The sequence below is a fragment of the Homo sapiens genome, chromosome 3 (genome assembly GCF_000001405.40).
Source record: "Homo sapiens chromosome 3, GRCh38.p14 Primary Assembly".
Taxonomy (NCBI): Eukaryota; Metazoa; Chordata; class Mammalia; order Primates; family Hominidae; genus Homo; species Homo sapiens.
The window spans coordinates 179,007,429-179,026,411 of NC_000003.12; the positions used below are offsets into that span (position 1 = coordinate 179,007,429).

General features: G+C 35.2%; 1 protein-coding gene across 11 annotated transcripts in view, besides 1 other annotated feature; it reads right to left on the reverse strand.

Annotated features, from left to right (window-relative positions):
* Window positions 9,795–18,983, reverse strand: part of ZMAT3 (zinc finger matrin-type 3) — a 55,291-nt gene continuing 46,102 nt past the window's right edge. For 6 of the 11 annotated variants that reach the window (NR_164720.1, NM_001375827.1, NM_001375828.1 and 3 more), the window contains one exon: window positions 9,795–17,797. Coding sequence is in view for 9 of the 11 variants with exons in the window: in NM_001375827.1 (NP_001362756.1) it covers window positions 17,589–17,797 (209 nt within the window). In the remaining 2 variants the exon portion in view is untranslated. Of the gene's footprint in view, window positions 17,801–18,983 lie in introns of all 11 variants that reach the window. The other 5 variants (NR_164721.1, NM_022470.4, XM_011513073.3 and 2 more) reach the window with 1 other exon arrangement.
* Window positions 9,870–9,979: an enhancer, noted in NCBI's record as "active region_20856". NCBI's record gives its function as "activates an Ori minimal core promoter by ATAC-STARR-seq in GM12878 lymphoblastoid cells {active_cell/tissue: GM12878}" and the evidence as "EXISTENCE:reporter gene assay evidence [ECO:0000049][PMID:35858748]".

Here is an 18,983-nt window from a genome sequence, read left to right on the forward strand (position 1 = left end):
ATTAAATGGACTAAACTCCCCAATCAAAACACACAGAGTGGTTGAATGAACTAAAAAAAAGAAAGACCCATTGATCTGTCACCTACAAAAAAAAAAAAAAAAAAAACCACGTTTTACCTATAAAGACACACATAGACAGAAAAATAAAGGGATGAAAAAATCTGTTCCATGCCATTGGAAACCAAAAATGAGCAGGAGTAGTCACACTTATTTCAGACAAAATAGATTATAAGACAAAAACTGTAGGAAGAAACAAAGAAGATCATTATATAATAATGGTAAAGGGGTCAATTCAGCAAGAGGACATAACAATAGTAAATATACATGCACAAAACACTGGAGCACCCAGATATATAAAGCAAATATTATTAGAGCTAAAGAGAGATAGACTCCAATACAATAATAGCCGGAGATGTCAATGCCCCATTTTTAGCATGGTACAGAAAATCAACAAGGAAACATATGACTTAATCTGCCCCATAAAACAAATGGATCTAATAGATATTTATGGAACATGTCATCAAATGGCTGCAGAATACACATTCTTTTTCTCAGCACATGGATCATTCTCAAAAATAAACTATATGTTAGGTCACAAAAAAAGTCATAAAACATTCAAAAAAACTGAAATAATATCAAGCATCTTCTCTAAAAACAATGGGATAAAACTACAAATCAGTGACAGGAGGAATTCTGGAAACTATACAAATGCATGGAAATTAAACAATATGATCCTGAATAACCAGTGGATCAATGAAGAAATTAAGAAGGAAGTTGAAAACTTTCTTGAAACAAAATGATAATGGAAACACAACATACCAAAAGCTATGGGACACAGCAAAAGTGGTACAAAAAGAGAAATTTATAGCCAGAAACATCAAAAAGGTAGAAAAATTCAAATAAACAACATAACAATGAATCTTAAAGAACTAAAAAAGCAAGAGCACACCAAATCCAAAATTAGTAGAAGAAATAATAAAGATCAGAGCAGAAATAAATGAAATTGAAGTGAAGAAAACAATACAAAAGATCTTTGAAGCAAAAATTTGGCTTTTTGAAAAGTTAAACAAAATTGACAAACCTTTAGCCAGGCTAAGAATAAAAGAGAGAAGACTCAAATAAATAAAATCAGAGATGAAAAAGGTGATATTACAACTGATACCTCAGAAAGCAAAGGATAATTAGTGGCTAGTTTGAGTAACTATATGGCAATGAATTGGAAAATATGGAAGAAACTGGCAAAACGCTAGACACATACAACCTATAAAAATTAAACCATGAAGAAATCCCAAACCCAAACAGACCAAAAAAAAAAAATAAAAAAATCTCCCAGTAAGGGAAGCCCAGGATCCAATGGCTTCACTGCTGAATTCTACCAAATGTTTAAAGGAGAACTGATACCAATTCCACTGAAACTATTATAGAGGAGGGAATACTTTCAAATTCATTCTACAAAGCCAGTATTCCCTGATGTCAAAACCAGGCAAAATTCATCAAAAAAAGAAAACTACAGGCTAATATCTCTGATAAATATTAATGCAAAAATATTCAACAAAATACTAGCAAACCTAATTCAACAATATATTAAAAAGATAATTCATCATAACCAAGTGAGATTTATTCCAGGGATGCAAGAATGACTCAACATATAAAAATCAATCAATGTGATACAGCATATCATCAGAATGAAAGACAAAAACTATATGATTATTTCAACTGAGGCTGAGCAAGCATTTGACAAAGTTCAACATTCTTTCATGATAAAAACTCACAAAAAAACTGGGAATAGGAGAAATACACCTCAACATAATAAAAGCTACATATAACAGACCCACAGATAGTATCATACTGAACAGATAAAAAAACGAAATGAAAGCCTTTCCTCTAAGAGCAGGAACACAACAAGAATGCCCACTTTTACCACTGTTATTCAACATAGTACTGAAAGTCTTAGCTAGAATGATCGGATATGAGAAAAAAATAAAGGGTATCAAATTGAAATGGAAGAAGTGAAATTATCCTTGTTTGCAAATGATATGATCTTACATTTGGAAAAACTTAAAGACGCAACCAAAACACTATTAGAACTGATAAATAAATTCAGTAAAGTTGCAGGACATAAAATGAACATACAAAAATCAGTAACATTTCTATATGCCAACAGTGAACAATCTGAAAAAGAAATTTAAAAAGTAATCCCATTTATGATAGCCAAACGTAAAATTAAATACTTAGGAATTAACCAAGGAAGTGAAAGATCTCTATAATGAAAACTATAAAACACTGATGAAATAAATTGGACACCAAGAAATGGAAAGAAATCCCATGTTCATGGATTGGAAGAATCAATATTGTTAAAATGTCCACACTACCCAAAGCAATCTACAGATTTAATGTAATCCCTATTCACATACCAATGACATTCTTCACAGAAATAGAAAAAACAATCCTAAAATGTTTATGAAACCATAAAAGACCCAGACTAGCCAAAGCTATCCTGAGTGCAAAGAACAAAACTGTAGGAATCACACTAGCTAATTTCAAATTATACTACAGAGCTATGGTAACCAAAACAACATGGTACTGGCACAAGAACAGACACATAGACCAATGGAACAGAATAGAAAACCCAGAAACAAATCCATACACCTACAGTGAATACATTTTCAACAAAGGTGCCAAAAGTGTACATTACAGAAAAGACAGTCTCTTCAATAAATTGTGCTGGGAAAACTGGATAACCATATGCAGAAGAACAAATTTTATCTATATCTCTTGTGTTATATAAAAATCAAACGAAACCGGATTAAAGACTTAAATCTAAGACCTCAAACTATGAATTTACTACAATAAAACACTGGGGAAATTCTCCAGGACATTGTTCTGGGCAAAATTTTGAGTAATACCTCACAAGCACAGGCAATCAAAGCAAAAATGGATAAAGAGGATCGCATCAAGTTTAAAAGCTTCTGTACAGAAAAGGCAACAAGCAATAAAGTGAAGAGACAACCCACAGAATGAGAGCAAATATTTACAAACTACCCATCTGACAAAAGATTAATAACCAGAATATATAAGGAGCTCAAACAACTCTACAGGAAAAAAATCTAATAATCTGATTTAAAATAAGCAAGAGATTTGAACAAACATTTCTCAAAAGAAGAAACACAAATGACAAACAGGCATATGAAAAGGTGTTCAATATCATTGATTATCAGAGAAATGCAAATCAAAACTACAGTGAGATATCATCTTACCCCAGTTAAAATGGCTTATATAGAAAAGACAGGCAATAACAAATGCCAGTGAGGATTTGGAGAAAAGGAAACGCTCATACCCTGTTGGTGGGAAAGTAAATTAGTAAAACCACTTTGAAGAAGTTTTGAGATTCCTCAAAAAACTAAAAATTCAGCTACCATGCAATCCAGCAATCCCATTGCTGGGCATATACCCAAAAGAAAGGAAATCAGTATATCAAGGAGATATCTGTACTCCCATATTTGTTGTAGCACTGTTCACCATAGCCAAAATTTGGAAGCACCCTAAGTGTCCATCAATAGATGAATGCATAAAGAAAATGTGATACCTATACATAATGGAGTACTCTGCAGCCACAAAAAAGAATGAGATTCTATTATTTGCAACAACAAAGGATGGAATTGGAGGTCAATATATTAAGTGAAATAAGCCAGGCACAGAAAGATAAATGCATGTTCTCACTTATTTATGAGATCTAAAAATCAAAACAATTGAACTCATGGAGATAGAGTGTAGACTGATGGTTACCAGAGGCTGGGAAGGGTAGTGAGGGGAGGGGAGGAAGTGGGGATGGTTAATGGGTACAAAAAAGTAGTTAGAAAGAGTGAATAAGACCTAGTATTTGATAGCATACCAGGTTGACTATAGTTAATAATAATTTACCTGTACGTTTTAAAATAACTAAAAGAGTATAATTGGATTGTTTGTAATACAAAGGACGAATGCTTGAGGGGATGGATACCCAATTTTCCATGATGTGATTATTATGCATTGCATGCCTGTACCAAAATATCTCATGTACCCCATGTATACACCTATGTACCCACAAAAACTAAAAAAAAAAAAAAAAAAAACTACAACCCAGGAAAATCTGCCAGATTGCCACTGCCTGTCTGTTTCAACTGAAGATGTTTCTAACCCAAATCTGGCCATCTTCTCAACTGACTGCCCTCCAGACTCTAAAGAAACTAATTTATAGGCTGTTCCAAATGTTAACGTTATTTTTCTCTGTTTTCATAGAAATGTCTCTTATCAAAGATGTTTGGCCTAACTTTGAGAGCCCATCTGCAATGCCACCTGTTGCAATGGGAAACAACAGTTTAACTGATGTAGTATCACAACTAAGAGACGGATTCAAGAAGATATGGCATGACATACTTATATTTGTTCTTTTCTGCTTATCCCAATTTGTTTTGCTCCCTCTTATCTCAAAACTTCTAACCCAAATCTCTCCATAGCTACCAATCCTACTTTAATAAGTGACACTTCTGTGTTTTTTTTTTTTTTTTGAGACAGGGTCTCTCTCTGTCACTCAGGATAGAGTGGCACAACCTCAGGTCACTGCAACCTCCCCCTCAAGGCTCAAGTGATCCTCCAACCTCCCCCTCAAGGCTCAAGTGATCCTCCCACCTCAGCCTCCTGAATAGCTGGGACTACAGGCACGTGCCACCATGGCTAGCTAATTATTTTTTTTTTTTCTGTAGAGATGGGCTTTTGCCATATTTCCCAGGCTGATCTCAAACTCCTGGGCTCAAGCGATCCACCCACCTCAGCCTCCTGAAGTGTTGAGATTACAGGCATGAGCCACTGCGCCCAAACATTAATAAGCGAAACGTTCTAAAGTTTCAAGTGGGGGACTAAAGGAAACTAAGAAATGTTTCACTCCAAAATATACTTCTTTGACATATTTTGAGATGACTATTCAGAGGGCCTGCAACACAAGAATCAGCCTGCAAAGCTGAGTCTTTTACGGGGATTTGCATCTCTAGAGGAAATAAAGTGAAGTAAACAACAGATGCAAACAGGCTTTTTCTGAAGCCCCACCTTGTCCAGAACAAGGCAAGATTAACTGAGAGCCTGACACCTTTAAAGGTTTTATAGAAACATCTACCACAGGCTCCCATCTCTTTTTTTTTTTTTTTTTTTTTTTTGAGATGGAGTCTTGCTCTGTCGCCCAGGCTAGAGTGCAGTGGTGTGCTCTCAGCTCACTGCAACCTCCGCCTCCCGGGTTCAAGCTATTCTCCTGCCTCAGCCTCCCAAGTAGCTGGGACTATAAGCACCCGCTACCACACCCAGCTAATTTTGTATTTTTAGTAGAGACGGGGTTTCACCATGTTGTCCAGGCTGGTCTCGAACTCCTGACCTCAGGTGATCCACTTGCCTTGGTCTCCCAAAGTGCTGGGATTACAGGCATGAGCCACCGTACCTGGCCTCCCATTTTTCCTTTCTGAGGGCTGCTACCTGTGAGATCATCTGCATAACAAGACCACCTTTGCAGCACACCTTGCCTCTTCTCTCCTTCCCATAACCTCTCATGCCACCATAACCTGTCTTGACAAGCTTCAAGCCCCTATTCTTTCTGTAACCTCAAGATAGTATTAAAGAGTTGTGAATGGAAAATAAAATTTTGGGACCCCCTATTCACCATACCTAAGGGAAAAAGTCAAGCTTGAGAACTGAGTCACACAAAACTGCCTCCCATTTTGTTCCTCAACAGCTACAAAGATGAAAGACTACCTACATACCTCCCTCGCAATTTGCTCACGAGCAAATTTTTTGTGGGCCCTCAAGATCCTTACCCTAAAACAGTTCTGTTGAATTTCACCCTGACAATAACAAACAATTTATCTTCAGAAGAACGGGACAAAGGATAGAACCAGAAGTCATACCTCTGCTCACCTGAGACAAATGCATATTTGACTGCTTCCTCTATTCTGTTTACTTATCTTATGTAAAAACGTAGATTCACTGAGCATGAGACAAATGCCTCTACCCTCTCCTTTCACATGTAAAATGTGGATCCACTGAACGCTGATGAAATCTTCAAAAGATTGCAACTTCTTGCCTCTTTCATCTACACTTCTTTTCTCTCCTGCCCATGTTTTCCCCTTTAAATATGGAAGCACTCAAAATCCTCTTTGGAAAAAAAGTGTGGGCCACAGATTCTATTGTGGCTAGTGGCTTTTTTTCCTGGGTGTATCATCAACCTTGGCAAAATAACTCTCAGTTGATTGAGATCTGTCTCAGATACTTTTTGGTTTACAGCATCAGCTGTCTGGACATTTGAGTTTTTCATATTTTGTATGACTCCCATGCCCATATGTACATTAATAAATCTGTATGCCTTTTTTCCTGTTAATCCATGGTCAGTTTGTTTTACAGACTCAAATTATCAAAGCTTCAGTGAAAAAAATTAAACTTTTATACACTTTGCATATATAAAATAATTTATAATTTTCCAAGTCTTCAGCTATGTACACCTATGGTCACAGTAGCATTATTCACAATAGCTAAAAGGTAGAAGCAACGTAAGTGTCCATCAGTGGATGAATAAACAAAATGTCATCGATACATGCAATGGGATATTATTCAGCCTTAAAAAGGAAGGAAAGTTGATAAATGCTTGAGGTGATAAGATACCCCAATTACCCTGATTTGATCATTACACATTGAATGTTTGTATCAAAATGACACATGTACCCCATAAATACGTACAATATTATATATCCCTAATTAAAAATAATTTTTAAAAATGAAGGAAATTCTGATACATACTACGACATGGATGAACCTTGAGGACATTATGCCAAGTGAAATACGCCAGACACAAAAGGACAATTGTCATATGATTCCACTTATATGAGGTACCTCAAGTAGTCAAAATCATAGAGACAGAAAGTAGAATGGTGGTTACCAGGGACTGGGGAAGAGAGAATGTGGAGTTATTGTTTAATGAGTAAAATTTCCGTTTGGGAAGATAAAAAATTTCTGGAGATGGAGAGTGATTATGATTGTAAACTAAATGGTTAAAATGGTAAATTTTATATGTTTTGCTATTTTTAAGGGTTTAATTTTTTTAAATTATTATTACATAAATGTCCATCAATAGAGGATCAATAACAGAAATTTTAGAAATCATACAAGGAAACACCACAGAATGAAAAACAATGAAATAGATCCACATGTGCTGGTATGGAATGCTTGCCAAGGTCACACACACACACACACACATACACACACACACACATACCCCAAGGTGATGAACAGAACAGTAGGGATGGAATGCCTCCATTCACGTTACATAGACTTTATCTGGAAAAGACTCAAGAAACTGCTAACCGCGATCAATTGCCGCTGGGCAGGGGGGACATGGCAGCATGGAGTTCAGGAGTGAGTTCAGGACTTATGTATTTCGAAAAAAAAAAACAATTCTTTTTGAAAACAGCAATCTTCTAAATTATCCATAGTACTGAAAGAGAGGAATAAAGAAGAAATAACTAGATCCACCCCTAATACCCCAGTTATGGGGATCTGAATTTCAAGAGGTCAAGTGACAAGCCAGGGAACACACTGGTGACAGAACTGAGACCAGTTACCCAGTATGTACTTTTTCTGAATGTTTGAAATATTTAATAAAACTACTTTTTTAAAAAAGTCTCTTTCTTCATTGCTAGCTTATTAAAGCAGAAAATATTGTTTTCCCCAAAAATAAACTATGTTTGGGAAAATTTTAATATTTTATAGTTTAATTTTTATGTCAGCAAGATTTCCATGTTTGGTAACATTTGCCCTTGTATATAATTGTGTTTTTAAATTTTCAAGTCTTCTTTGATGAAAGATTTTTCTAGTCCTTTACTTCCTGGTTGGGGCCTTCATTGACCATTATTTTAATTTCCATGTTTGTTGTTGTTCACATAACCGAATATGTAGAGAACAGATTTTTTTAAACAAAATAGACGTTTTTAAATAATCACAAAAAATGAGACATTCACACATGCCTGTGCATATATATCTATCCATACATATATATGGATCCTGATTTCCAATTCAACACTTTCCCACTCTGTCATCCTTTACAGACTTAAGCTGCAAAAACAGTCCTCAGTATCTCTTAAAGGCATGACTTGTTTTATTTACAGATAAAAACTCATATCCTCCACAAGGTGGTTTTCAACCAAACATCCTGCTTTAAAGTTAGTTCACCAACCACAAACTGCTAACTGTAAAATCTAGACAGTCCACAAGGTGGCACTAGATACCGTTGGTCAAAGTCCATAACCTAGTAAGGATTTCTAGAAAACAGGGTTAGAGAGGTGCCTCTGGCATCAGCAAAGATGAAAAATTGAAGCTAATATGAAAGGCATCTTGTTCCTGTCTAGAGGGACAACTTCCAGCCAAAACACATTTGAAGCTCTAATTACATACTTAAAGATTTATCCAAAATGCCAAGCATAAGTTATAGACTGCCTATGGTGGAGTGTATTTCTTCCAGTGGCAAATTTACATCTGTTCCTTTGGACACACTTCATTACTAGCATATGATCATCTTAAACATGTTTCCATAAACTCCCTCCTAGTATACATTCCCCCTAAATATATATACACACATACACACACAGACTTGAAGATTAAAAACCATGAAATGTATTTTTAGGGGATTTTTTTTGGTAAGAACTCATAATCAGATCCCTTTAAAATAATATTCACGTTACACAATAGTTAACTGTCTTCATCTTTTTGTAATTCTTAATTTTCAAGTTATGAAGATCCCACAACTAAGAATTGTTGTGGTTTAAGCCTCAACTCAGATGATAAAAATCTTAAAACTCACATAAAAAGATCTATTTCTGATCTTTATAATCTTATATCAATTTATCATACATTGGGAAACTTTATCACCAGCCCTTTAAGAAATTATAAAGGATAACACCCAGCATTTGATCTTGAATAGATTTTCAGCCAATGAATGAGCCTCAGAAATGCCTTTAAAAAGGCTGAAAATCTGAAATCATTTAAGACTTTTTTGGTGCATATTATCATGGCTTTTTTAAAGCTAAGAATCTCCTGGAGATGATTTAATAAAATGTGCTGATGCCTTGAGTACTTTACAACACACAAATTCAGTGTGATCTATTCACTTCATTCAGAAACATTTTTTGTGTGTGCAGACCGAAGAATTTTTCCCACAACAGTAAGGGTATGTGTCTTGCATCCTGATTAATTAAAGCATAACAGCATCTTACAGCCTATAATCTACTTTTTTAAGTGAGCATTTAAATTCAAAAGTACACTGTATACAGAAAACCAGGCTGTTTAAAGGACCACATCTCAATTATATTGCATATATAAATTGATTATATTTGTAAGAGTATTTTACATGTAAAACACCCCCAAAAGATTAATGGGTATATGCTTTTTAATAATGTGTTTATTTCCAGCAGTGTTTATGGTACTAAGGCCAACTTTCTTAAAATTTGAAGGGAAAATAAATATTAAAATCTACCAACAAAATTGAGAACTCACTCCAGTCCCAGGCTAACTCCAGTGATGGGGAGAACGGGCAGTGTGGGCAGCTAGGTTGATTCTACTGCCAACCTAAAAGCTTACAGTACTTGCATGATTTCCAGAAGACCATGGCAGACTGTGTGCAGACTGATGAATGGAGAACCCACAGTCATCGAGAATCGGCATCAAAATAACGTCTCAGTGATGACAATTTACCTTCTTCCCTTGATCTTCAACTCATAACCAAACAATTTTCAGACAAGACTCAGAAACCGTTTTATTAAACTGGAACACAAAATGCGTGTTATAATAATGTCAAGCCTTTATCAGAAATCAGTACATAAGTGAGGATACACAGCCAAAATGAGCCATCAACAAAAGCAGTATAAATTTTAAATAAGTTTCAGATTTCTATACTCAATATGCTAAAGAAAATAAAACCGAAAGAGTAGTTTCAATTTCACAATTCACAGTTGATTGGTTTTAATCCCATGACACGTTTGTCATTCTGCAGCCCCAGAACACAGACTTCCAAAGCAGTGACTGGCACTCCGACCCAACAGCATACACAGATCTTAAGCCTCTGTATGACATTTAGAGAAAATTTTAATAAACAACCCTAATTACACACAGTTTGGGCTGACATTTTTTAGCTATATCCTTTATCAAAGATAGTTCTAGTGAAATAGCAAAAGCAGTTTTAAAAGTTTGCCATGCCATTCAATAAAGGGTTCTAAAGCCTCCCTTGGTTTTACATTTTATTCTCTAATTTAAAACAATAACTGCATTAAAATGCAACCTTAATGGTGAAAGCAAAATCGGTTTTGCTTCTGAATCTAGAGCATATTTCCAAGGAGAAGCAACTTATTGTCCCAGCAGATATATGGAATGCTTTAAAGCAGGATCTGACATACTCCAGTAAGGCATTTCAAAGCAGACACATCATACCCAAACTAAATCATTATGGTCAGTCAAGGATACCACAGGTGAACACCAAGTAACGCAGAGTTAACGTGAAATTCTTACAAATGACACACGATTTACAAAACCCCAGAAAGGTACTCAGGTACCAAAAGAGGGCAGAACAATGACCAGCCACTCCAAAAGAGTTTTGTTCCTATACATGCCATATTTGCAGAGTAGAAACAAACTGCCCTATTTGCGCTTTGCCCTAGGATAATATCACTCATTCTGACATGTGGAGTTACTCTTCCTTAAAAAAATATATCATGTAGAGAATACACAAATAATAATAAATGATATAGAACATTTATTATTTTCACTAGTGAGGGGGTCACTTAAGCACTTACAAAGACTTATAAATGAATCATGAAGGTCATCAAAATGCAAAAACATCCAATAAATGTTGCATTATTAGTATTCAACAGTGCAGCAAGATTTTTAGCAACTGCGTCGGGCTTAATTTGGAACTATGGCCATGAGAATATGTTTAAGTTCAAAGAACTGCCAGATGTCTAAAAAAAAAAGTGTAATTAGTAAAAATATGGATTTTCCCTCCAAGGGCCCAAAGGAAGTGTTCAGTTACTTTGGAAGCCATGAATTTTATCAAACACACACAAGAATATGAATCTGGAACATTTCAATTCTGATTCAATTCTACCCATTGAATCTTCATGACCTGGAGAAAGTCACTTAAAATTCTTTAGATTTTATCTAAAGAATCTTATCCACAAAAAGTGGGCATAAAAATAAAGGCATATGTAAAAATAATTTTTTCTAAACATGACTACAATAAAGCTAAAGATGGTTACTAAGGCTTACAATTTCAACAACTCATTGTACAGTACAATCATTTTTAATTCTGCTAATTATAGCTGGAGGAAGTGTGGATAATTACAATTCTCAAGGAATTCAAATCAAATTCTTTAGAAAAATTAATAGTTTCAACTTACTAAGCTACTTAATCTGCTCTCCTAGAGTTGTTTAAAACAGCTAATTATATAGGGGTTTGACCCTTTACTCCCCTCTACCTTCTGGTAGAGCAGCTGAAAGTAGTGAAAGGAGAAGTGACAAGAGGGAGAAAAGCAGCAACAGATTGAAATGAGGTATTCGCTGATTTCATAAACCCCAATCAGTAATTTACAGTTTTTTGAAGAAGCTGCATAGTTTGGCAAAAATACATTATCAGAAGTGGGGAAAAGAAAAATTATATTGAAACTTTAAAATTTATGACAAGCACTTAAAAATGACCAATTCTAAAATAAACTTGTGTTTGAAAGGAATTGTCCTCCCTCACCCTAAGTACACACAAAAAGAGAAACTGGAAGACAAAAGTCCACAGGAGGAAAAAAAAAAAAGTATGTTAATTGGCTCAGATTATCAACTTCATACACCACTTTCAAAATAGATATTTAAACGAATACTAAACCTTAATTAATGACACCCATGCTAAGAATTTAGGGCAGTGTATTGCCTAAAATTTACTTTGGAATGTTCTTTAAAAAAAAAATCTGATGGATCGATGGATGAAAAGAGGGATAGAGAATATGAACAGATACATGGCAATACAAGTATAGTCAAATGTTGATGGCAGAATCTAGCAGTGGTTATACTGCAAAGTTTTTTCAACTTTGATATATGTCTGAAAATTTTCTTGAGAAAATGTTGAGGAACATGTTAACATTTCTATAATAAAATCAGTCTAGCAGGGCGTTTCTAAGATTCTAAGTAGTCAGGCAATTTAGAATTTTAAATTAATTAAACTAGGGAAAATTTTGCTTTTAATGGCTTCAAACCTGATTTGTGAAGATGCTTCATTTAATATAGAAATGAACTAACACAATTAATAATTATTGTGCCAGTCTCTTCGCTTTAGCTGCAAATACATAATTTTTCCCCTCTCTACAGAAGACAAGTTTGAAAATGACCACTAGAATAAAGAATTTTTCCAAACATCAGTGTCAAGCTCTTCCAATCAACCACACTGCCATTCACTAAGTACAAACGCAACACAGATCAAGGTGAAAAATGATCTCTGACTTCTGCCAGCTTGGGAAAACTGGATTCATTTTCAGAATGTATGGTTTCTGATCAATAATGACAATAGTTTTACTTGATATCAAATTGACATTTATTTAAAAAAGGGAAAAAAAAGACGTAGAACAGAATTCACACAGACCTTTGTTATTCCAAGCTCCTATTTATGAATGGTGATTAATAGCAATAATTCTGTCTCTCTTCTCTCTGTGAAATGCTAACACTTGCTAAAGGCACTCAGATTCTGGGCTTAACGGAGACAAGGTCACATGGGACCATAAGCCAGTACGTTTTTTGGTAGCTACCCAGAAAGGAAGTTTACAAATGTTCCTCCCATTCATAACGGGAAGAAAAAGTCAAACAGCTATCAGTAGAAGCGTTTTATGAGAAGCTATTTACACAGCTATTTGTCCATTCAGCCAGAGTGACAGTAACTGCTCACAATGGTAGGGGTTCTCCCCTGCCAAGAAAGCAAAAACAATAACAAAACACTTTTTATCATATATGAAACTCCTGTACAATGATTTGGCTAGAAGAAAAAAATAGTTGGTAAGGTCAAATTTGTTTTAAAACATCTGTTCAAAAGCCTGCATTAAACTTTTATCTGTCCTGACAAAACATGTCTCAATTTCTTTCTAAAGCAGCTCTATTGTCCTAGCATATGCCTCACCAAGTTCTTTAAAGGGCATTTCCAACCTTAGTTCTGACAATGAAGACACAAAGTAGGTTAGGTTCCAAAACCACCCTTCCTAGCCCTCCCTGTAGAAAATACCATGTTGCACAGTTACATGTGTCCCCTGACACAAACGACACTCATTTTACGTAGGTCACTGGACCTCAAACTGTTGTTGCTTGCTGTCCCAGCCAATTCAAGAGTGAAGGAAGATGTAACCAGACATACATATCTCCCTTTCTCCCTGTTCAAACTGTAGATAGGTAGCTATAAGCAAGCATATAGTTCTGTAGAAAAGCTTTCTAAAATGAGGTGGAAGATCTCGTGCTTCTTGTTAGCTTTTTAAGTCAGGGGAATGTAAGGATGATGTCAAATAGCCACGATTCTTCTTTTAAACTCAGGGCTTCAAAAATCCTACCTGGTTTTCTAAGTTTACCAACTAATTAAAAGGTCAGTGAAGAAGAGTTGGAGGAGGAACTTTTTCCAAATAAATGGTATAAAAAAATTATTCACCTTGCAGAATTTAGTGCAATAAGAGACAGGCAGACAAACATAAACAACATGCACATATTTACAAGTTGCAGGACATGATGCACAATGTGAAGACCAACAAAGTATTTTCAAAGCATCTTCAGTGCACTCAAAAGGATTACAGGGCACACTCAGTTTAGTAACTGAACTTTTTTTACAAAACCACTTCAAAGGTATATGCAATCCAATCTTTTAGTTGAAACACGAATTTTCTTTCTTTACAACTTCTTACCCTCAATACCTAAGAAGAATTCTAATTGTCATCTTCTAACGTTGATTTTTTATGACAACTTACACAAAGATATTATTCACAGAGAAAAGAGACTGATGCTATGAGTTCCTATGGATGATTACCGAAATCTAAGTATTTTTTTTTCTAATTTTTGTTGTTGTTGTGGTTTAGGCCTCTGTCCATCCTTGAAGACAGCATAGAAAAGGACACTAACATAATTCCTGGGGAGCACAAGGTGCAAATCCTAAAGTATGTTACAGAGACAGACTGAGCTTCACAAAATGAAACCAACGAAGATCACATATCACTGACTCAGAAGAAACAACAGTCTGCTTAAACAGAGAAAAAACACTGTTTATGGAATACATGAATATGAGAAATTGTACCATGCAGAGATGTATCTATTTAGGCATTTCCTGCCTGATAACCTCTGTCACCCTTTGTTTTCACCTATGGAACAGAGAAGAATACTGCAAGGTAACAAGCTCAAAACATAACCTACTGTCATAGAGATTTGTGATTTTTTTTCAGATGTGCATGTAACTTTTACAAGTGATCATGGAAGTTATTTATCAACTTCCCAGAGTTTGGAATTTAAGGAGCAAACTGAGTTATTGTAGGCAATACGGTACTAAAGTGTCCTATAAAACAAACACATAGCTCTTTTTTAGTGCAAAGAAATATAGCAAGTAAGAAATAACACTATAAATCTAACTTCTTTCTTTAAAAGAAAATGTGCTTATGCATTCATAACATCCATTAAGGGCACTGGGAAACTGGAAACCTGAATCCACAAGGCCTGAAAAAACATCAAGCCCTTAAGTCGGCTGCTTTTTCTACGTATATAATGAAATTGTTAAGTGGAGAGAGCAAGGGGAACCCTTCTTATAAAACTATTTCCAATGGAAAACAAAGTGGATGAATGACATTTTTACAAAATATAAATTCATGTTCGTATCTTCTACTGTTATTTGAAATAAGGGTTGAAATACCTCTCTATGACAACATATATGTACGTGTGTGTGTGGGGGTATGCATACACACACATCTACCTATGGAGGAAAAAAACTAGATTTTTAGGTAATCATAGAACCAAGCGGCCAGCACTATAATGTTAAAATTAACCAAAAAATTATATTTAGCAGCAAAATGAATAACCTACTGGCCAATAAGAAAAGCCCTAAATTGCTCAAAACTAAGCAACTCTACTTTATAGATTACTGAAAAAATAATAATAATAATAATAATAAAAGGGTTATTATACTAAGAGTCACAGGTCTAGATAGAATCCTAACAGAATAGTATTTGATTCTTCTGTTTCTGGGAGAAGAAAAGTTACAAAATAATTCTACTTCTCAAAGAACCACCACTTCAAGAGAAGACAGTAACTGGATACTATACAAGGGTTAATCACACAAAACTCGTTTTTAAACATGGGTCTGAGTTGTTTAAAAATTGTCCCAAAGTATTACAGAAGAAGAATGATTGTAATTTGCCTTCCCCAATTTTTTTTGCCTACAGAATTATCAAGAAAAAATAGAAGTTTTACCTCTAATTAGTAATACAAGCAATCAAATGTGAACTGACCATTGTGCAAACATACTGCTTAAAATATAAACTTCCTGATCAAGTGGGCTTTCAAAAGAAATACGGATGACCACTGGTCTTACCCATATAAAATATAGTAAATAGATAAAATGTAGTTAATGAATATTCACAGAGCACTCCATTAGTTAATCTAGATATATATTATAGCTTCTTTTTTTTTTTTTTTGGAGACGGAGTATTGCTCTGTCGCCCAGACTGGAGTGCAGTGGCACGATTCTTGGCTGACTGCAACCTCCACCTCCTGGGTTCATACAACTTCTTATTTTAAACGCAAAAAAACAAAAATAATAATACTGATATAATTATCAGATGCCAAAGTGATCTATCATATACTTGTTAGTATCTTCAAGAAAGCCGAATTACAAAGAATAAAACCATAGTTCGTGTATATTTCTACTGGAAACGAAGATAGTGAAACTTTATTTGCTTTTTAAAAAATTCCTCTGTGTATAAAACAGCAGGTGGTGATATTTTTCAGGATGGCCACCAGACTGGCAAGACAGAGGAAAATGTAAGTAAACCGTAAGAATCAGATTATCAAAAAAGTCTGGCAAAACAAAATATCAAGCAATCTGAACTTATGGTTTAGATCATGATATAAGCGCATGTTACTATCAATGAAGTAACTCTAAATTGGAAAATCAAACACACCTTTGTTTCCTAAAAACTGCTGGAAAATATATCTATATATATATATATTTTTTTTTTTTTTTTTTTTTTTTTTTTGAGACGGAGTCTCGCTCTGTCACCCAGGCTGGAGTGCAGTGGCGCGATCTCGGCTCACTGCAAGCTCCGCCTCCCGGGTTCACGCCATTCTCCTGCCTCAGCCTCCAGAGTAGCTGGGACTACAGGCACCCACCACCACGCCCGGCTAATGTTTTGTATTTTTAGTAGAGATGGGGTTTCACTGTGTTAGCCAGGATGATCTCGACCTCCTGACCTCGTGATCCGCCTGCTTCGGCCTCCCAAAGTGCTGGGATTACAGGCGTGAGCCACCGCGCCCGGCCCTATTTTTTGAAATCATATCCATCTTAAACTCATTGAATATTCAAATATGAGGCTTGGAAAACCCACAGCACAGCTGGGGCATGAAAATGGGCTTGTTAGACAAGCTGATTCAACTAGGGGGGAAAAAAGAGGAGGGAAGAAGGCGGCAATTATATGTGTGAAATCCACAACTGGAAATCAAGTTTAGCTGTTTGGAAGTATACAAGCTCATTGGGAGTATTTGAATTCAAGAAAATTTGCGCTTCAATGATGGGGAGACATGATACAGAAAAAAAAATGTCCTGGGAAAGACCCTAACAGTTTCTAATAATGTATCCTACTGACAATGCATTGAGGTGGCGGTTCTGGTTAAGCCCTGGGAAACTGAAATCTCTGCTGACCTATTTTTACTTTGATCTAAAAAGAATTCAATACAATTCTTTAACAGTACATAAAACTACAATTGCAAAAGAAAATGGCAGAAAAAAATGTCCCGGGAAAGACCTTAACAGTTTCTAATAATGTATTCTACTGACAATGCATTGAGGTGGCGGTTCTGGTTAAGCCCTGGGAAACTGAAATCTCTGCCAACCTATTTTTACTGTGATCTAAAAAGAATTCAGTACAATTCTTTAACAGTACATAAAACTAAAATTGCAAAAGAAAATGAAACTTTTAAATAGTCAAAGTTCTAAGCCGTCAGGCTACTAGTTGACCAGAACTTGAGCAAGATAAAAAGTTATTTCTGATGGGGTAGGTAGGTCACATGCTATGAGCGGCTCAACACCATTGACCCTGCAAAAGCGTTATGACCTAAGAAGCACGTTCTTCACACCCACCTCCCCCCGCCCCGCCCCCGGGCCCCCAGGTTTTGACATCTCATGGTACCACTGTGGGTTACATGTATTAACATTAAGCAGAGGAATGTACTCATATCAAAAAGACCACAAAGCAGGGCAAGTTGACAAAAGGCAAACAACAGGCAGGAAAAGCTGCTCTATCTTAATATGATAATCACTATACATATCCCAGATTCTCCATCTCATTCCTGTACCGCTGTTCAGACACCTTGCTCTTATGTTGCTTGCTCTCTAAATGCTGCCGGAATTCCATCTCTTCGCCAGCTCCAACATTACACATTGAGCAGTAAAACTGGCCACTTGGAGTAACACACATGGCCAGATCACGTGGAATTCTCTGCCGAGAGCGGGGATTGAAGTAAGGACCTGCTAAAGCAAGAGATAAAAATAATATATTCAAAATATTCATTAAGTGAATGACAACCTGACCAATTATCACTGTAATTTGTAATTCTAAGTTCAAATTATAAAATTCACAGATTCTTAGCTTTAAGTGAATGTGAAGTTAATGGATTTTTAAAATTACAATTTTACACAGGTTCGATCTAAAAAGATAAAATGATTCCTCCAACCATTGTCAGAAAAATTGCTGTAGAGCCAAACCCAAATTCCAAATGGCTGTGTCTCTAAAAAAGTGAATACGCTTTTAAAAATACTTTAATTTCCAAGCATTATATCAGAAGTCTTATGCTTATGCTAACCCTTTAATCCAAAAATTCTACTTGTAAGAATTATCCTAAGAAAATACTAAGAATTTTCACACTGAGATTTAATAGCAATATGTTTATCTCAGCAGTGATTATAAAAGCAAAAATTTAGGGGGAAGAAGAGATTCAAAAATAGGATTAAAGAAAGTATGGTAATGAATGCAATGGAAAACTATGCCATTGCTAAATATAATAATGCTATAGAAAACTCTTACGCTATTAAGTAAACTATGAATATCCCAAACTAGGATCCCATTTCTATTTTAAAGAAGTCATACATATGAAGAGACTAGAATGAAATCTGCAAAAGTGTTGGTGACATTACTGATCATTTCATTTTCTTCTTTTTACATTACTGACCTCATAAGCTGGACGCTTAGTTCGTTAACTTTATGCTTTTCACTTCCACTATAATAATATATAGGTAATACTTTTCTCAAAATACTGCTTTCACTGCATCCTACAAGTGTTAATATATTTTCATTACTGTTTCACTGTAGGAATTTTTAATTTCCAGTATAATTGTTTCTTTGAACCATGAGTTATTTAGAAGTGTTTTTAAATTGGAAAACAAATGGAAATTTTGTTTGCTTTTCTATTTTTGTTGTTGACATCTCATTTCATTGTACTCTGGTCAGAGAACATAATCTATCCTAAAATTTATTTTTCTGATATTAATACAGCTATCCCAGCTTCTTTCATTTCAGATGGATTTCTTTCATCCAATTTAACATTTTTTGGACTTTGGTAATTTTACATTTATTACAATTATTAATATATGTTTAGACTTTTCTTAATCATAATGAATTGTGCTTTTTTTTTTTTTTTTTTTTTTTTTGAGACAG